This window comes from Homo sapiens, chromosome 2 (genome assembly GCF_000001405.40).
Source record: "Homo sapiens chromosome 2, GRCh38.p14 Primary Assembly".
In the NCBI taxonomy this organism is placed as follows: Eukaryota; Metazoa; Chordata; class Mammalia; order Primates; family Hominidae; genus Homo; species Homo sapiens.
The window spans coordinates 151,511,378-151,531,634 of record NC_000002.12 but is presented as its reverse complement, the minus strand read 5'-3'; the positions used below and the strand labels follow the sequence as shown (position 1 = coordinate 151,531,634).

General features: G+C 40.6%; 2 protein-coding genes across 51 annotated transcripts in view; one reads left to right on the top strand and one right to left on the bottom strand.

Annotated features, from left to right (window-relative positions):
* The window catches only part of RIF1 (replication timing regulatory factor 1), a 124,534-nt gene that overhangs the window by 2,801 nt on the left and 101,476 nt on the right, over positions 1-20,257 (bottom strand). The window lies entirely within an intron of this gene.
* Positions 1-20,257, top strand: part of NEB (nebulin) — a 249,138-nt gene that overhangs the window by 202,842 nt on the left and 26,039 nt on the right. For 43 of the 47 annotated variants that reach the window (XM_011511227.3, XM_011511226.3, XM_005246613.3 and 40 more), the window contains 17 exons: positions 534-641; positions 2,321-2,425; positions 4,050-4,154; positions 4,613-4,717; positions 5,373-5,477; positions 5,567-5,677; positions 6,362-6,472; positions 7,019-7,120; positions 7,220-7,324; positions 11,867-11,977; positions 12,566-12,670; positions 13,213-13,317; positions 15,072-15,176; positions 16,707-16,817; positions 17,207-17,317; positions 17,942-18,055; positions 18,798-18,902. In XM_011511227.3, coding sequence (XP_011509529.1) covers positions 534-641; positions 2,321-2,425; positions 4,050-4,154; positions 4,613-4,717; positions 5,373-5,477; positions 5,567-5,677; positions 6,362-6,472; positions 7,019-7,120; positions 7,220-7,324; positions 11,867-11,977; positions 12,566-12,670; positions 13,213-13,317; positions 15,072-15,176; positions 16,707-16,817; positions 17,207-17,317; positions 17,942-18,055; positions 18,798-18,902 — 1,824 coding nt within the window. The remainder of the gene's footprint in view (positions 1-533; positions 642-2,320; positions 2,426-4,049; positions 4,155-4,612; positions 4,718-5,372; positions 5,478-5,566; positions 5,678-6,361; positions 6,473-7,018; positions 7,121-7,219; positions 7,325-11,866; positions 11,978-12,565; positions 12,671-13,212; positions 13,318-15,071; positions 15,177-16,706; positions 16,818-17,206; positions 17,318-17,941; positions 18,056-18,797; positions 18,903-20,257) is intronic. The other 4 variants (XM_047444485.1, XM_047444484.1, XM_047444477.1 and 1 more) reach the window with 1 other exon arrangement.

Genomic DNA, 20,257 nt, shown 5'->3' with positions numbered 1-20,257 from the left:
CCAATAAAGAATTGTTGTGGCCGGGCGTGGTGGCTTATGCCTGTAATTCCAGCACTTTGGGAAGCCAAGGCAGGTGGATCACTTGAGGCCACGAGTTTGAGACCAGCCTGGCCAATATGGCAAAACCCCATCTCTACTAAAAATATAAAAATTAGCCAGATGCAGTGGTGCATGCCTGTGGTCCCAGCTACTCAGGAGGCTGAGGCGTGACAATTGCTTGAGCCCAGGAGATGGAGGTTGCAGTGAACCAAGATCATGCCACTGCACTCCAGCCTGGGTGGCAAAGTGAGACTCTGTCTCAAAAAAAAAAAAAAAAAAAAAAAAAAGAAAGAAAAAAAGAGAGTTGTTGTGACCAAACTGGCAGACACGCCAGCTGGAAACACTGAAGTCTTAGCAGAGAGCATGAAAGCACCTGTCAAATTCATAGAATTCTCTTTCCTTTATATTCACTCAGGAAAAAACTTTGCATTTATATTTTGATATTATACATTGAGAAGCATGACATGATGTCTTTCTGCTTTTTGATCTTTCAGATCCTTTATAAATTGGAATACAACAAGGCCAAACCCAGAGGCTACACCACAATCCACGACACACCCATGTTGCTGCATGTCCGCAAGGTTAAAGATGAAGTCAGTGATGTAAGTACTAGAATGGTTTAGCAGTCCCTCTCATCTTGGCCTCCTTCTAATGAGATGTAACAAACCCTGGTCCAGTTATCTATTCCTGTGTAACAACCACCCTAAAACTTAGTGGCTTAAAATAATAGTCATCTCTTTTGCTCATGATTCGGTAAGTTGACTGGACACAGCTGAACAGTCCTGCTCCCCATGTTGCTGGCAGACACCTGGGGCTCAGTCAAGCCAGGACATCCAGGTGGCTCACTCCCATGGCTAGCCATTGGTGATGGCTGCGGGCTGGGAGCTGGGCTATTGTGTAGACGAGACAGGAACCCCTTCATGTGGCCTCTCCACATGCCTGGGACTTCTCCCCAGATGGGTCTCCACGTGGCTTAAACATATCCTGAGGTACTGATTTTTTAAAAATGAATTTCCACGACTTTCTCCTAAAGATACTGATAAGTAAATTGGTAAACTAGGTCTATGGCAAAGCCAGGAAAATTGTGATTCCTATGATCAGTTTAGTAAACCCCACTATGGCTCCCTCGGAACAGTTTACTTTGGCCTTAGTCACATTAAAACCTAGGATCCTTCCCCAACGATTAATGAAAAAGCCCAGATCGAGGCCCTCGACCCTGAAATTTAAGAAGAGCAAAAGTGGGTGAAGCTGGAAGTCCCAGGCCCAGGATGGAAAAACTGCCTGTTGGGCCTGCAGATGCTAAGCCTTCTCTGTGCCTTTCCCTCCTATCCAAACCCACATATACCAAAACTTGCTAGGTATGTCTCCAGCAATGACAATATACAGTTCTATATATTTTTAAAAGGCAGAATGATTGCTGTATTCATCAGTTCATTCATTCATCAAATATTGTCTATGTGCCTGACACTAGGAATGAGATGATGGATGATAAACAGTTTTTGCCCTTAAGGGGTCCTTAATGGAAAGAATAGGCAGATTAAAAAAAATTATAACACGATATGATAATAGCTATAACTGCCGGAGCACAGAAGGAGAGCAAGACTAATTCTGTCTGGGTGAGCTGGTAGGGAAAGGCTTCTCTTCCATCAGCAGTTATCAAGATGTTCTGAACTCAAGATTTGCTGATTTGGGGAAAGGAAAACCTGAATGAATAGGGTTCCAACTGGTCCTTTCAGCACAAGCACAGAAACAAAAATTATATGGCAGGCTGGGCACAGTGGCTCACACCTGTAATCCCAGCACTTTGAAAGGCTGAGGTGGGCGGGATCACCTGAGGTCACGAGTTCGAGACCAGCCTGGCCAACGTGGCGAAACCCCATCTCTACTAAAATACAAAATTAGCCGGGTGAGGTGGCGCATGCCTGTGGTCCCAGGTACTCAGGAGGCTGAGGCAGGAGAATTGCTTGAACCTGGGAGGCGGAGGTTGCAGTGAGCTGAGATCACACCATTGTACTCCAGCCTGGGTGACAGAGAGAGAATCTGTTAAAAAAAAAAAAAAAATTATATGGCAACACTGATGACCATAGTCAGTGTGCCCTGATCTGAGATAGGAAGGTGCATCTCTGCATGGCTGTATCCTTGCTCCACAGCAGATTTTTAAAATTCCGTCTTAAGGAGCATTGTGTACTATAGTCATGCATGGATTTAATTTCTTGTTTTTTAAGATGCTCAGTATGCTGCTATAAAAAAATTAATCTTGTCACTGTGTTTCCTCCCACAGCTGAAATACAAAGAAGTATACCAAAGAAATAAATCCAACTGCACCATTGAGCCAGATGCTGTTCATATCAAAGCAGCCAAGGACGCCTACAAAGTCAACACCAATGTAAGTTCCAGAAACTTCCCCAAGCATGGTGGGGGATTTACCAGCTTCTGTAGGACACATGGCCTCTTTTTACATCTCTTCAGGCAATTCAGCTCTAGTGATTGATTCCAAAGCAAGAGTCAGGCCCCAGGAGCATGAACAATGATGCTAAAATATAAATGCTGCATTGGTCCTCACAAAGGAGCATAGGGAAGAGCAAAGGAAGCTTCATCCCATGCCATGGATGCTACACCCACTCAGCTTTTGCGGTGGGTGGCTGAGAAATGGGACGTTTAATTCTGAAATGTAGGTTGCATTTTTGGAAAGTGCCTGAGCATTTTTCATTCTCTTTCCCTGTGCTCTCCTCCTGCCTCAAACTCTACAATCTGCTTCTTCTGATGAAGAAAACATTGAGCCATTTGGTGCCATCAGGCATTGGCCTAGACCTTCTTCCTGCTCAGATATTCCCTGCGTTGACTCTCTTCTTGGGTGCAGCATCTTAAGGCCTCAACTACAGAAATAATTTTGTGCATTTAGATGAGCACTGACTTCTTAAAAATATATTAAATGGTTATACAATGAAACCATTGTAACCGAATTAGTACCCACTAGTGCTAGAGGGGACATATATTTATGAGGGCTAGCAAACTGGAATCCCTGTAGGAGCTGGCAAAGAGCTTGTACGTATCCTGAGGATGGATTGAGGGCAGACGGATAGAAGGACAGATGTGAGATAAAGCAAATGCAGTAAAACGTACCTTGCAAAATCCAGGTTGTATGGGTATTCTCTGTAATATTCTTGCAACATTTTTGTATGTTTGAAATTTTTCAAAATAAAATGAGGGGAAAAAAACCTTATTAAATAGTATACATAAAAGCATGTGCATTGTATTGTGTATAAATTATACCTCAATTTTAAAAAGAGAGAAAGAATGAGGAAAGAAATGTGCCTAATAGTGCAGGCTCCTCCCAAGGACACTCAAATTAAATTACATACACTTCTGTGGCTCAGATTTGGCCCAATGCAGCCAGTTCTCCAGCCCTGAAGGGTCTAGGAAGCATGCAAGCCCCTCTGCAGCCAGACTGCCTGGGTTTAAATTCCAGCTCCACCAATTGCTAAGTCTCACCTTGGGAAGTTTACTTAACCTTTCTATCCAGTTCTTCAGCTGTCTATTTCATGCAGTTGTTATGAAGATTAGGTGAATTAATTTTATAAAATTTTATAATTCATTTAATTAGTTTTGTAATTTGTAAAGAACTTAGAAAAGTGCCTGGCAGAAAATAAATACCTAGTGTTTGATCATTTTTGGTAAAAATTAAACCCGAATTTAGTTTGAAATTAAAAGTACTCGATTCTGAAGATGATTAGGCTGGACTGGCAGAACTAGAGAGATTGAAGAATCATTTCACCCGGAGGCCTTTAAAAATTTTAGCCTCTATTTCGGGACCACAGGGTCCCAACAGATGACCTCTGAGTGGATGACTAGCTGCATAAATTGTACAGAAATTTCAATTGGGGCTTCCTCTTGCATTAGGAATCATGATTTGAGATGTTTTGAAATGCAAGAGCCCCTCTGTGCCATGTGTGTGTTTATGAATTTAGCCTACTGAATCAAGTGATTCCTTTCTCTCCTGTTAAAAACAGCTGGACTATAAGAAACAGTACGAAGCCAACAAAGCCCACTGGAAGTGGACTCCTGACCGACCGGACTTCCTCCAGGCTGCCAAGTCATCCCTGCAGCAAAGCGATGTAAGACAGGAGAGACACAGACGATTGTAACTGCATACTGCACCTGAGAAATACAATGAATAATTATTTATAATAACCACTATCATGAGTGTTAACCCTTGCTCGTTTGAGATCCGAGAAGGAGAGGAGGATGGTTGGGGGAGCGATAGGCGAGCTCAGAACCCAAACCTGCCCATGGAGCCTATTCTCCTTTGGCTGGGCCTGGACACAAATGACTGAGTTCTGACTGAGGCTGGGGAGAGTCTGGGGGAAGACTGGGGATGGAGGGGCTTGGTCCTGGCAGCTAGGCTGAAAAGGAGGAGTCCAAAATGCAGTGAGGGACCAAGAAGCTCTTCTCCTCATTCTGGTAGCAAGTCTTTGTCCTCTCCTTAAGAGGACTCCCTGTGTGTTTAATCAAATGCCCAGCTTCCTCCTGTGCTGTCACCCTTCCCTTTTCTTCTGCCTTTCTTCTATCACAGTTTGAATATAAGCTGGACCGGGAGTTCCTCAAGGGTTGCAAGCTTTCTGTCACTGATGACAAAAACACGGTGCTCGCCCTCAGGAATACTTTAATAGAAAGTGATGTAAGTACCTAGTTCCTTCCATGATGCCTAACCTCACTCAGGGCCATCTTCCATGGTACAGTCCCCAGGGACACCAGGGAAGGATGGAGAAGAGCTGCTTCCATCAGGGCTCAGGTATGGGTCCTGAATTATGGCCTGTCCTGTGAGGGGCGCCAGCAGTCAAGCAGGGCAGCAGCAGTGCAAGGGCCATTAGATCCAGGTGACAGTCCTCGATTTATACTGCACCAGCAGAGAGTTCACACAGCAGGAATTAGGACCCTGAAGGCCTGGCTGGACTCTTTATGGAAACGCCATGATTTGTTTTCTATGGGATCATACTTTCCCTTCACTACAGTTTCCTCCTCTGTAAAGACGGAATAATAATGGGCTCATGGAGGGCTTATGGGAGGGACAAATGGCATATCTGAGCGTGCTGTGAACGTAAGTGTGACTATATAAAGATTCATCACGAGATCCATTTTGATTGTTATTAAAACCACAACTTGCTAGAGATAAGGAAAAAACCCTTTTGAATATTTCCCAAAATTTGCAAGTATCACATCTTTTATTGAGTTTAGTATTGTCAACGCTGCTGTTCTACTGGTTTGAGGGTGTAATAAAAATATGTAGGATATCCAGCAGAGCTAAAGAAATGCCCCTTTTCCTGCCCCTGAAGCTGAAATACAAAGAGAAACATGTCAAGGAAAGAGGAACCTGCCATGCCGTACCTGACACGCCTCAGATCCTGCTGGCGAAGACTGTCAGCAACCTGGTGTCTGAGGTAACCCCCAGCCGCCCATGAGTTCTGCTTCCCTCTTGGGAGAACGCCCCAGGCAGATGCCTTAATGAGCTCTCTATGGATTCCCCCAGAACAAGTACAAGGACCATGTCAAGAAGCACTTGGCACAGGGCTCATACACAACACTACCAGAGACCCGGGACACTGTTCACGTCAAGGAAGTGACCAAGCATGTCAGTGATGTAAGTGATCAACCACCGGTCTCTTGGCAGCAACAATGCCACTTGACTGTAGAATCTGGTGAAATAATGTCAGTTGCCTTTTGCTTCCTTTATGTAGCTTCACTCTTACCATCAATATCTACATGTGAATCTTAAACTCTGACTTTTAAAATGACCCAGTATTTATTGGCTTTCCAATTCTGGCAATTATGGCAAATGTGGGTTTTGCTACAGGACATGTAATCTAGCCATATCAGATATTACTAACCTATTAATAACAGAAGGAAACATTGTTGATTAGGAGTGGCCTCTCCTATTATTAAACTGCTACCCAATTTTAGAAAGGTAAAACTACCTCTTTGGGCCTCAGTAATCTCTGCCTGCTCTATCCTTATCAATAATGCTGTAGTAACCTTGGTATTATATGAGTCCCATATGGTTCCATATATTTTTAAAAGGTAGAAATAGTAAATAAAAGAGCTTAATTTGCCTCTACCCAGGTTCTCCGAAGATTGCCAGGTGGTTCTAGTGTTGGGTTGCAGGACACAAATGACAGAGAAGAACTAGAATATGGGTCTTATCTAAGTCCCAGACTGACGCCAAAATGGGGAGCATGGATTTTCCTGGAGATTTCACAGTTCTTCAAGTAAACCAACTCTGTTCCCAGCTTCCTCTACTCATAAAAGTAATTCTGGCTCTATTTAGACAAATTACAAAAAGAAGTTTGTCAAGGAGAAAGGAAAATCCAACTACTCCATCATGCTGGAGCCACCAGAGGTGAAACATGCTATGGAAGTGGCCAAGAAGCAAAGTGATGTAAGTTTTCCCTCTCAACACTCTTGGGGGCCCATTTGAAGCAGTGGAACCCAGATTGGTGCATTCTCTTGTTCCAGTGTGTGGTCACTCTAATTCCTCTGTGGTAGTTTCAAAAAGTTAGTGGCGAGAATTGGTTTGGGTTTAAGGAAAAAAGCTGATTGTGCTTAATGGGGACTTTTAGAAAGATAGCATATCTCGGCTGGGCGTGGTGGCTCATGCCTATAATCCCAGCACTTTGGGAGCCCAAGACAGGCAGATCACGAGGTCAGGAGTTCGAGACCAGCCTGGCCAATATGGTGAAACCCTGTCTCTACTAAAAACACAAAAATCAGCCGGGCATGGTGGTGCACACCTGCAGTCCCCAGCTACTCGGGAGGCTGAGGCAGAAGAATCACTTGAATCCGGGAGACAGAAGTTGCAGTGAGCTGAGATTGTACCACTGCACTCAAGCCTGGGCAACAGAGTGAGATTCCATCTCAAAAAAAAAAAAAAAAAAAAAAAAAAAAAAGCCTCTCTCTTGAGTAAACATTTTCTTCCCCAATAAAGGTCGCTTACAGAAAAGATGCCAAAGAGAACCTGCATTACACCACAGTGGCTGATCGACCAGACATCAAGAAGGCCACACAGGCAGCCAAACAGGCCAGTGAGGTAAGGGTGTCATGAAAATGTCCCCAGTCCCCAACAGCCATTGCCAAGGCATGCCAGGCAACCATCACCTGTTGCCCATTTTGGTTTTCTCTGATTCAGGTGGAGTACAGAGCCAAGCACCGCAAGGAAGGCAGCCATGGCTTAAGCATGCTCGGTCGCCCAGACATAGAAATGGCCAAGAAGGCAGCCAAGCTGAGCAGCCAGGTAATGCAGATGGGTGCACTGGTGGCTCTCATGTGAGGAGATTATAAAAGACCTTGCAGGAAGAAGTGATTTCCAGATTGAAAATGCAAAGGGATGCTGGGTCTGTAATAGTACTGCAAAGCTTCCAAGAGTTATAAAAAGTGCACTGAGGGCCTTTTCTCGTTTCCCTCTAAGCTGTCTAGACCTTTCTTGTTCTCCACTTTACCATTTATGGGCATTTGTCTGGGTGTCTGTGTGCTTAACTATCTTTATGTGACAAAAACATCAGTTCATGAGATCCTACTGGAACCTCTCCCCAGGCCTTAAGAGTTTCATCCTCGGGGTCTGATTCATACTTGAGTCACCTGGGATAGATTTAACATGAAGAGCAATGAAATTCTAACTTCTAGAATCCAACCAGATGAAAATATTCATTTTTTTTTCATTAAACATACATATATTAACTGCCCGGGCTAGGAAGTAGGGATGAGCAGATGTCTTCAGATTACTTGTCCATGGATAAATCATTAAAATTTTGTTTGGCAAGTGTTTGATCAGGGTATGCACAGGGTGCTGATGGAGAATGCCACATTCTTGCAGATCTCATATTATTGAGAAGCAAATGGACTCAGAAATGTGTTGCCCAAACCCAGTTACCACATGACTTATTTTCCCTTGTTAGGCCAATTATCTAAAATTCCCCAAGTTATGACAGGTTTTCAGACTTTAGCTCAGAGATCCCATCATCTACCACCAGACCTATCAGAGTGCAAGTTTGATCCTATAGGACTTTAGCTTAAGAATATCTCATTTCTCCTCCAATTTACAGATCCTACCTTCTTTTTCCTTGTCCTCTCAGGTATCTGTTTGAAGAAATAGGTTTGGGATATACATTTGGTTGTCGTGAGTGACTGACTTTCAGCAATAGCAAACATGGGATTCCAATCTTTTGGAAGATATAATGCAGTAATGTCAAGTGACAGAACAAGTTAGAATTATGAAAACACAAGAGGGTCAGATGACTGATGAAAAGCAAATATTATTTTTTAAAAGTTTTTAAACTTAAAATTCCTATGTAACATATTTTATTATAAATTAATGGAATTGTATAAGTATTTGAAACTAAGATATGGGATCACCACCACCAACAAAAAAACAGTGGAATCTCTAAGAGTAATGAGATGTAACAAGAACTTATTAATGCAAAAAGTTAATGTTTTTAAATGTACAAGGTCATATCATTATAATTTAAAAACAAACGACTATGATGTTGAAATTTTGAAAACTTTATTGTTTTTGAAAATCAAGAGGCTCCTATTTCTAGTACTAAGTGAATCCTATGGTATGGAGAATGGGACCCTATGGGTCCCATTTACTTCCTGTGAAAGGCTGGTCTCCGGATTGACAGCTTCATGGTGTGGCCCTGGGCCCAAGGGCGCTTCAGCTGTGTGTGGGCTTTCCCTGTTCTGACTTTGCTGTCTTGCTGCGTACTCTAGGCGGAATACCTCAAAGGCCAAAGGAGAGGGCACGGCGCTGCATCTTATGACACCCCTATGATGAGGCATCTTAAGAAAATTAATGTACACATCAGTGATGTAAGAAAGACTGAGACCAGCAAGCCATTATTTCTGTCTTCCTCTGATTCTTGTCTACTTTCTTGGCATTGGTCAGGAGACTGACCAGGTTGCATTCTTTTCTGTTGATTTTTGTGTTGGAACGTGTAGATTGCTGTGGAAATTTGTTGAAGGATATACTTTTGCATACACCCTTCTTTTCCTGCATGAAACTTTCCATCTGGAACATACCACTTGGAATAGGAAGGTAGACTAGACTCAGAGATGGACTCCTAATGTATGTGTATGTTAGGTTGCTGACACTGATCAAGTTAAATGATGAAATGAAAACAAACTGAGAATCTCATCTTCAACCAAAGAAACCTCTGCCTCTTCTGAAGTTATCTGCCATTTTTGATTTTTAATATACTGAAGATTGGTATTTAATATAGTTTCTCAGTTCAGGCCTTCTATGAATCAACAGTATAAACTTTTAATAGCTTTTCTAATTCTCGGGACTGTTCTTCAGTCTTTAGAAGCACCAGTATACATCTCAATTCAATAAAAAGGAGCTAAAAAATTAGATCTTAAACTTCAAATACAATTAAACTCCTAAAAATATAATTAATGCAAAATCACTTTCCTATACTACATCCATAATAGGCCCAATTTCTGAGCCTGATGGGATTATAAACCCCGGGGGCTGCCACTTGCCGAGACATGGCATTGCAGAGTTGCCTCTTAGCTCCCATGGTTAATGGGAAAAAGCTTCACCATTCCCTAATGCCAAGTGTATGTAGTTTTACTACATTACTCCCTAGTCAAACACCATTCCAAGAATTCCTAGAGTCCTAAACCTGGTACATGTCCTTACCTTTCAAACTATACTAGTTTTAAGAAGATCCAGTCAAAAAGGAAGGCCAAAAGTGCTGAACTCAGATTCATATTAGTAGTTGTAAAAAGCTGCATTTGTTTAGAGGACTTCCTATGGAGAAGGGAGCCATAACTTTTTTTCAGTTAAAAAGGTTGAAGTTAACTTGAAATTAACAGAAGAAAAAGAAACTGAAGTGGAATCAATGGGATTGCTGCTTGAAAAATACCTCTTCAGAAACAAGTATCTTCTAAAAGACAGAAGGAGGACTTTTAGTATGCTTCTAAAAAAAGCAGATTTTATTCTCATTTGAGATGGGCTTTTGCTTCTTTTCTTCCCTACTCTGACTCTGCATATCTGGTTTGCTTTTCTGTGTTTCACAACTCTTGGGAACATCTCCTAGTTTTATGGACTTCTATATCTCTTAGGAAAAGTTGCCTTTGGTCCAGACACCAGCTCACACCTCAGACCTTCCTTAGCAGGCCTTCCACTTCTTTATGTTGAGAGTGAAACTTTTTCAGAGAAGAGCCATTGTAGCATTTGTTTACGTTTCTTTTTCCTTTACTTTGTGTGTCTCAGTGTGCCTGCATCATGCTGAACTGTTCTGCATGCTTATTTTTTCTCTGCATTTCCACTGAGGATTTATTCAAAGTAAAGGAGTCTCAGCATTGTGAATGCATTTTCTCTGATGTGGCAGATTTCATTGTTATTTTGTGTCTGTTGTGCTGGATGTGTCAAGTTGGGGGAGGTGAAGAGCAGTGATGAACCATGAGGGGTACTGGTGTTAGTGAGTCTTTCATCTTAACAATAACAGAAACTCTAGGATTCCCTGAGGGTTAAATATTGCCCTTTTGGTTGGCTAACATCTAGAAACAGCTCAGTTTTCATTCCTCCTAGAGTGAATAACTAGTAGAATTCTACTTCTGGCCTTAATTCTGCAATACTGTTGACAAAAGCATCAGTTTGTTTTTCAATTAGGAGATGTTTCTGTCACTTTCCATTCTGTTGAATTCTCCTATAAATAAATCCTCTTATTTATTTTGTGAGACAGGGTCTTGCTCTGTTGCCCACGATGGAGTGCAGTGGTGCGATCCTGACTCACTGCAGCCTCCACCTCCCGGGCTCAAGTGATCCTCCCACTTCAGCCTCCTGAGTAGCTGAGACTACAGGGGTGCACCACAATGCCCAGTTAATTTTTGTATTTTTAGTGGAGATGGGGTTTCAGCACGTGCCCAGGCTGGTCTCAAACTCCTGGGCTCAAGTAATTCACCCACCTTGGCCTCCTAAAGTGCTGAGATTACAGGCATGAGCCACCACACCTGGCTATCATCCTCTTTAGATATTTTACCTAGACATAATGACTGTCTCTTCCTTCCATTCAATCAAATCACATTTATTGAGCAACTATTAGTGCAAGGCATTGTGCTTATTTTTTAAATTGGAGTTATTTAGCCCTCTGCCTACCTAAACTTATTTTTATGTATACTAAAAGTATATTTAATCTTATTTTTTCTCATTATTCTGAAGTATCTCACTTTTTTCCTACTTCTAGTCTGAAATCACACTTGAAGCCATTAACCCCCAAACTCTCATATTTGTTTACTCAGGAGTTATACCATTTTTGGCCAAGTTTAATAATTTTTAAATGATATAGCCAAAGTACTATTTTAAAATAACAATAAATTCTCCTAATTTAACAGATTCTTTATTTTTCAACCTTCTTGATCATTTACAGCCCTTCTTTGGATTTCACAGACTTAAATTGCTGTTGGTTTTGCTAGTTAGGAGTGCTAAAATGCTCCAAATCAAGTACATTAAATCACATCTCTGAATTTAGCCTGAAGCCTTTTCCATTTTTTTTTTTTTTTGTTTTGCATTAGAAAGAGGTGATTACTTTTTATACCTTGGAATAATATAAAAATGAGCAAGGCCAGTGATCATATATTTGAATGCCTGTTGTCTTGTCATTCTTAATTATTAATAGTGTCTTCTTTACTCTAAATGTCCCAGTTTGGATAATAGATTATATGATCACTCTATGTACAATGCATATTCTTTGGCATTTGTGTTTCTACTATTCCCCAATTCCCAAATTGATTGATGTCCAGGAATAATTTGGATGTTTGCATTTGCTGTTAGGTTAAATACCGAGAAAATTTCGATAAAGAAAAGGGCAAGACACCAAAATACAATCCAAAAGACAGCCAGCTCTACAAAGTCATGAAAGATGCTAATAATCTTGCAAGTGAGGTATGTTTCTAAAATTGTGGTAAAATATATAACATGGTATTTGCCATTTTAACTGTTTTTAAGTGTGCAATTCAGTAGCATTTATAACACTCACAATATTATCCAACTACTGTCACTATTTCCAAAATGTTTTCATACCAACAGAAACTATAACCATTAAGCAAAAACTCTCCATTCCCTCCTCCCGTCAGCTCCTGGGAACCTCTTATCTACTTTTTGTCTCTATGCATTTGCCTGTTTTAGAGAGTGCATATAAATGGAATCAAACAGTATCTGTCCTTTGGTGTCTGGCTTATTTTACTTAGCATAATATGTTCAAGGTCCATCCATGTTGTAGGATATATCAGAACTTCATTCCTTTTATGGCTAAATAATATTCCATTGTATGTATATGCCACATTTTGTTTATCCATTCATCTGCTGACAGACACTTGGGTTGTTTCTGCCTTCTGGCTACTATGAATGAGGTATGATTTTTCATCACCATCTCCAGCATTTGTTTGACGATGGGCTATCTCACTTTGATTTCCATTAGTGCTGTTCCATTTCCTATTTACGTGATTTCCTTTCTTCCCCCATAACACACAGGTTAAATACAAGGCTGACCTGAAGAAACTTCACAAACCCGTGACTGACATGAAGGAGTCTCTGATCATGAATCATGTCCTGAATACAAGCCAACTTGCCAGTTCTGTAAGCTCAGTCATTTGCTCCAGAAACAGCTTGTTTTACCCATTTGGAACTAAATTCTTTCTGAGCCCAGATGCATCTTCTTCTCTGCTACTGATACCCTAGATTTATTACAAAACTGTTCTCATTTGAGTGTATTCTTCCAAATGACAACATTAATCTACCAATTCTCCATTGTCTGTAACACCTCTCAGAATGTAAAAATGCTTCTTTTTAAAAAATATTTAAACTTTGCCCTCCAATTAACCATTCCCTTTTCTCTAAGGACATAGAAATACCCTCTGGAATAGTTTCTTTCACTTTTAACTTTTTACTTATAACACCTACTTTGAACAAGCCACATAACCTAAGTGTTTACATCTTAACGGACAATACTGAACTTGGATCCTCATTTTTAAAACTTTTTCTTAACCTCCTGTTTAGTGTTTGCCATTTTTAGTTTGATCTTGACAATGGTGCTGTGTAAACGTCTAATCTAAAGAGGAAAAATAGGAATGCTGAGCAGCTTCTCCATCAATGTGCCTTTTTTGCCGCCTTCCCCTCAGTACCAGTACAAGAAGAAGTATGAGAAGAGTAAAGGCCACTACCACACCATACCCGATAATCTGGAGCAGCTTCACCTAAAAGAGGCCACAGAATTACAGAGTATAGTAAGTGGATCAAGACCGATTTTTCCTCTGGCGCACATTCATCCACAGTACAATGTGAAAAAAAATTTCATAGATTCCCTCCATTGTTTGAGAAAATGCACAAAGATATAAGGGGTTTTGAATCTGGTAACTTTTTGAAACAAATTCTTATGTTATAAATTACAACAACATCTACATATAGTTGAGAAATATACATGCAATTATGTGCTACTGGCAGGGGCTGGAAGCATAAAGAGTGTGTTTTATGAGGGGACAAACCCCTCATGGTAACTCCAATGTGCCCCATGGGTTTGTGCCCCAGGTTAGGGAACACTACAGTAGATTATAGGGAGTCAGGAAGATTTCAAACAGAGAAGTGATACGATCAGGTCTACTACTGAAAGCAGTTCTGGGAATTTACAAAATTACTAAATTTTTAAGATACAGTCATATACCGCATGATGTTTTTGGTCAACAGCAGACCACCTGTATGACAGTGGTCCCATAAGATTATAATGGAGCTACCCTATGCAGGTGTACCATTTTAAAACCTTTAATACCATATTTTTACTGTACCTTTTCTATGCTTAGAGGTATCAAGATACACAAATACTCTTGTGTTACAAGTGCCTACAGATTTCAGTAAAATAATATGCTGTACAGGTTTCTAGCCTAGGAGCAACAGGCCATACCATATAGCCTAGGTGTGTAGTAGGCTATACCATCTAGGTTTGTGTAAGTGTACTCTGTGATGTTCACACAATGATGAAATTGCATAACAAAGCCTTTCTCATAACATATCCCAGTTGTTAAGCAATTCATGACTATAATTGAAGATTCTCAGAGGAAAGAACTTACTATCACATGACCTCCTATATCACAAATTCAGCATTATTTAGGTCCCCTGTTGGGCATTAACCATGAGGACTAACTATTAGAAACGTCCTCGTGTCTTCTGTAGGGCAGTATGTGCCCCCAGGCCTTTATTCCAACATCTTGTTACAACCCAAGAGCTCGGAGATTGAGCAGTGCCATCAAGGTGCTGCGTGCATGAGGGTCTTCGCCTGTTTTTCCAGAAGTTCTCTGTCACATACATTTATGTGGCTCCCCTGATTCTTAACCACATGTTATGAGGATGAGAAAATTTTATTTATACAACAGGCTTGAGGATCTTTTGAGACTGTCAGGTTTTTTAACAAGTCAGTCAATATGTAAACTAGTTTTCATTTTTATACCAATTTATTGGCTGCATTAAATATATGGCCAGTCAGGACCCACATAGAGTTGTTTACTTATAAATAAAGCTCCATGTGTTATCCATTCAATCTAGACCCCAGGTCTCTGATAAAAGTTCTTGTGAAAGAAAAACTAAGGATTTTTATCAGAAATATTGATTAATGCTAATAGCATTAATAATTTTAAAGTGTTTACAGCTACCCATCAATTATTGACCAACCTCATCTACCTGGGTAATTTTCCCCATGCGTTTTCTTGCATCAGCATTTCTCTCAGCTGGCTCTTGTCAATGATTCTTTTGTGTCCTTGAATTGAATCCAAATCCTAATTATGCCTTGCAGACAGTAATGGTACCCATCCCCTCAACACCTAGACAACAACAAAAATGTACTGGATCTGAAACATAACAGGAAACTGTTTTGAGTGGCAATGAGATGCCATCCAATTGACAGAACATATCAATTAAAAAATACTATCCTTAAACTGCTGTCTAGGAATTGACCAGAGGAGAGATATCTAACATGGCTTTCTATCACCAGGTGAAATACAAAGAAAAGTATGAAAAGGAACGAGGAAAACCCATGCTGGACTTTGAAACACCAACGTACATCACTGCCAAAGAGTCTCAGCAGATGCAGAGTGGGGTAAGTCAAAAAAACCACACCACACAACAATGATCCATCACACTACTGAACACAAGCTCTGCCCATGACATGGCCAGTTTCCTGTCATCCAAAAGTGGTAGCTGATGAAACTTTTTATCATGTGATCACTAAAATCTTCTCCATCTCAGAAATCCTATGGTTCAGTTATTTTTTAAAAATGCTCTAGGTAGTAAATATTTACCATATGTCTTATTTCAACAGCCATTTCTGTAAAATTAGAACATGGAAAACTATTCCCAACACAAATTATACTGAATGTAATTTGGATTTTCCTTTATGAATGAAAAGTTCCCTCCACACAGACACCCCTTTGGCTTTGAAATGCTCTACTCTTAGTAGAATGCCCCAAGCCAAACAAAAGGGTATTTGTGATCAAGATGTTTATCAAGACCCCAGATAATCAAAAGTGAAGATGCCATATTCGTTATTTTAGAATTGTAAGCAGAAGCACTAAATTTTCTTTTGGTCATTTTTAACCAAGAGTAGAGAATGGAATCTTATTTTAAATCTTAGTCTGTCTTCAGTGGGAAATGGGCTTATTTGGAATTTCCATTTGCCTCTCTTCCTCCAACTATAAAGAAAAATTGTTTTAAATAAAAGCAGCAGTTTGTGGAGCTTTCTGGTGATAGAATGTCAGGTCATCAAAACTTTAAAATGGCTTCAAACAATTGGTCAATCTGAGTAAAGGATCTATAGGAGTTTCTTATACTGTTCTTGTGACTTTCCTGTAAATTTAAAATTCTATTAAAATAACAAAATTACAAAAGTAGAGTTCCAACATCTATTCCAAGCCCCTCTGTGAGTCAGCTAAGTCTGGAGACTGGAGAGGAGATGGGGCAGGGAGGCAGAGTGGACAAAACCATACAATTCCTCTGTGCCTCACTGCCCACCTAAGCTATTCAGTGATTTTTAAAAAACAGGTCAAAACTCAGTGTGGTGGCATACACCTGTAGTCCCAGCTACTCAGCAGGCTGAGGCAGGAGGCTCACTTCAGCTCAGGAGTTTGAGACCAGCCTGGGCATCATAGCAAGACCCCATATTAAAAAAACAGGTCATGATTAGGAAAAAAAGCAAGTTAGCATTTGGTAGCCTTAGGCTCTCCTTCCACTGCGATTTTTTTCCCCTTGCCTCACTGACTTGTAATTCTGAAATAAAGTCTTTTGTCACCTTAAGAAAGGTGTGGGAAAGTTCAGAAGAGACAACAGAGGATTCAGAGTCCTGATGGTGCATCCATCCTTCCACTCTGTGAAGGGCCTGCCCCAGTCACAACATTAGACTGATGAGTGAGGGGCCCATCAAAGTGTCTCAGCCTGAATTTCCTTGTGGCCATTTGCTCCAGACAAAGTATTTCAAGTACAATCATACATGTTTCAAATGTGTGACCATTAGCAGAACTATGATTAAGAGCCCATACATAGAAAATGCTGTTTTTTTTTTCTTCCTGAGATGGAGAGATATATTGTAATAAAGATTTTTTTTTAACTTGTCTTTCCTTCCTACTTACATTAGAAAGAATATAGGAAAGATTATGAAGAGTCCATTAAAGGCAGAAACCTGACTGGCCTGGAGGTCACGCCAGCTTTGTTACATGTCAAATATGCAACTAAAATAGCAAGCGAGGTAGTGCCCACTTGGTCTTTTCTTTCCCTCTTAATCCAAATAATTGCACTAGTGACACTCATTAATGTGTTCCTCCTACCATTTACATCACCACCTAACTGTGGGTTTCAAATTGGGTTCTCATGTGCTTGGTACTACCACCTAATCTATTACCCATGTTAATTCTTCTAATTTTTTATTTGAATATTACCTTAGCATTCTATTAACTTCAAGCTTTCATTTGATATTTAATGTTAACTGATCATGCTTATACCCTGCCTGTATTCATATTTTTACTTACTAAACTGTGAACCCTTTAAAAATTGGAATTGTTTTTTATTTTCTTCTTTGCCTGAGAGAATCAATCTGGGCTTTCTTGTCAATGTTGTTGCTTTTCTTTCATGATATAGAAAGAGTACAGGAAAGATCTAGAGGAAAGCATCCGTGGGAAGGGCCTCACTGAAATGGAAGATACACCTGACATGCTAAGAGCAAAGAATGCCACTCAAATCCTCAATGAGGTAGGCCCACAGCTGACTGCCTGCACGTAATTCATACAGCATCATTTCTTTGTTAGCCAAATTACACCAGAAAAAGCAAAACAAAAACAGAGAACAGAGAAAAACAGAGCTTTTCATTTTCAGATTCCATATCAACATAATTGTTAACCATTACATAAAATATACCTCAATTTCTGATGAATGGATATTGTAACAGTGTGTTTCTGTAGTGGTTATCATAATCTATTATCTAATATTATTTGATTTAACTTGATATATTTGGTGTGCTCATCTACACGAAAACACTACACTGGAGTGGTGTGCACCTAAGTGTAATCTTAGTTATGTACCAAACTAGATGTACAATTTACTTTATACTCTAATCTTCTAAGCAGAGAATGCTAAAAGTATTCAAAAGGAGACCTCTGTTGACCCATACTGACTTGCATAGAATAGTTTCCTCCAGAGGGCTTCTGAAGACACCACTTCATCCTACCACACGGAAGAGCGAAGGTGAAGAGTAGCAAGCGACACTATCTGTGACAACTGGGGTGGCGTGTTATGTGGATTTACATTCACCCTGTATGTTTATTACCTAGTAGTAGCATTTAGGTACCTTTTTTTTTTCTTTTAATGCTACTATAGAAAGAATATAAGCGAGACCTGGAACTGGAAGTCAAAGGAAGAGGCCTGAATGCCATGGCCAATGAAACTCCGGATTTTATGAGGGCCAGGAATGCTACTGATATTGCCAGTCAGGTCAGTGCTACTATTCGATGTCAATCTTTCAGGAAAGTAGTTGTAACTTTAAGGACATAAAGTGTCCCTCTGTCATCTGATTTATTGGTGACAGTCACATGCATACAATGGCATTCTTGAACATCTGCCTGGAGGAAGCCATCCCAATGAAAGGATGGAGGACCCTTTGCCAGGCTCATTGCTGTCTACCTTTCTAAGTCTATAGGCTCTGGGGACATTCAGAGCAAAGGGCAGAAACTGAGGAATTAAGTAGCTGTTTGGAGCTGGGGCAAACTCGACATCTTGGCCTTATTTCTGAGTCAGTCCACTCATTTGATGCCAGGAATTCCTTGCTTAGAATATCTTGGGAGTTCTTCCTCTCCTTTCAAGCCCTAAGTTTAGAACAGTTTTTAGGCATCTTAGCTTGTCTAATGCTCATTGGTATGGGTCTTTTGCTTATTTGTCATCCTCCCAGCTCGTATGTAAACAATCCATGCCTTACTATCTGTTGATGATCCCTCCTTACCCATATCCCATCCTGCATCCAACTAAATCTTCTCTCAACAGCTAGGACTTGACCTTTCTTACTGAATCTCACTCTTTGGTATAAAACTATGAACAAAATAGGAAGAAATATCTGTTGAATGTCAAATGAATGAGTCCCTCTTGGAAAAGAAATATGGCTCACCTCTTAATCAAATCAAGCCAACAACTGTTGTGCACATTGCAAACATTTACCCAACTATTCGGTGTTGTTTTACAGATTAAGTATAAGCAATCAGCAGAAATGGAGAAAGCCAATTTCACTTCTGTGGTTGATACTCCAGAGATCATTCATGCCCAACAAGTCAAGAATCTTTCAAGCCAGGTAAGGACATTCGTCATGCCATCACTCATAAACCCCAATCATGAAAGAATGGAAGTCCTTCCATTAATAAATACCTTAAGAGATTCTTCAGATCAGTTTTTCCCAATAAAAAAGAGATTCACCAGGTGCAGTGGCTCACGTCTGTATTCCCAGCACTTTGGGAGGCCAAGGAAAGTGGATCATTTAAGTCCACGAGTTTGAGATCAGCCTGGACAATATGGCAAAACCCTGTCCCTACAAAAATTGGCCAGGTGTGGTGGTGCACGCCAGTCCCAGCTTCTAGGAAGGCTGAGGTGGGAAGATCAATTGAGCCCAGGCGGTTGAGGCTGCAGTCAGCTGTGACTGCACCACTGCAGTCCCCTGGGTGACAGGGTGAGACTCTTAAAAAAAAAAGAGAGAAGCCCGGCATGGTGGCTCATGCCTGTATTCCCAGCACTTTGGGAGGCCGAGGTGGGTGGATCACAAGGTCAGGAGATCCAGACCATCCTGGCTAACACGGTGAAACTCTATCTCTACTAAAAAAAATACACAAAAATTAGCCGGGCGTGGTGGCAGGCACCTGTAGTCCCAGCTACTTGGGAGGCTGAGGCAGGAGAATGGCGTGAACCCGGGAGGCAGAGCTTGCAGTGAGCCGAGATCACGCCACTGCACTCCAGCCTGGGCAGCACAGCAAGACTCTGTCTCAAAAAAAAAAAAAAAAAAAAAAAAAAAAAGAGTGAGAGGGTAACCTATGATGCAGGAATTTTAAGGTAGTGAAGAACTCTTTTAAGGTACTGAAGAACATGGTACAACTTGTAATTAATGAATCAATATTTTAACATGTAAAATCTCTTATGATGTGGCTTTAAAAATGTGTGCGCAGATCTGGAAGAAACAAAGTAGCCCACATTTGGATTACCAATCTCAAACAAGACTGAGATTGAGACCACACAGTCTAACCCCTGACTCCCCTCATGATGAATAACTCTCCATCATCTTCCTACAAATAGAGAGATGAAGAAAAGTAGGCCATCCTTCACACCCTGGGATAGGCCTTCACTTGTATGAACGATTGTCAGTGATGGTCAGGAGTCTGCAATTTGTTTGAGTGGTGCCAGATTAGAATTTGTGCTTGTCTTCTGATCAATGAGTTCCAAAGCCATAGTTAACGTGCCCTAGCTGTGCTTTATAGGCACCTGGGGATGTAGATTCGCTGGTCCAACTCTGGAATTTTGATGCTAGTAAATCTGTGGTAGGCTCTGGAAATCTATTTTTGTTTGTTTTTAATTTTCACAGATGATCTCTTAATGACCAATCAGGTTGGGGAATCAAGGATTTCAACCCTTTACTGGAAACATATAGTTGTATATTGTAAA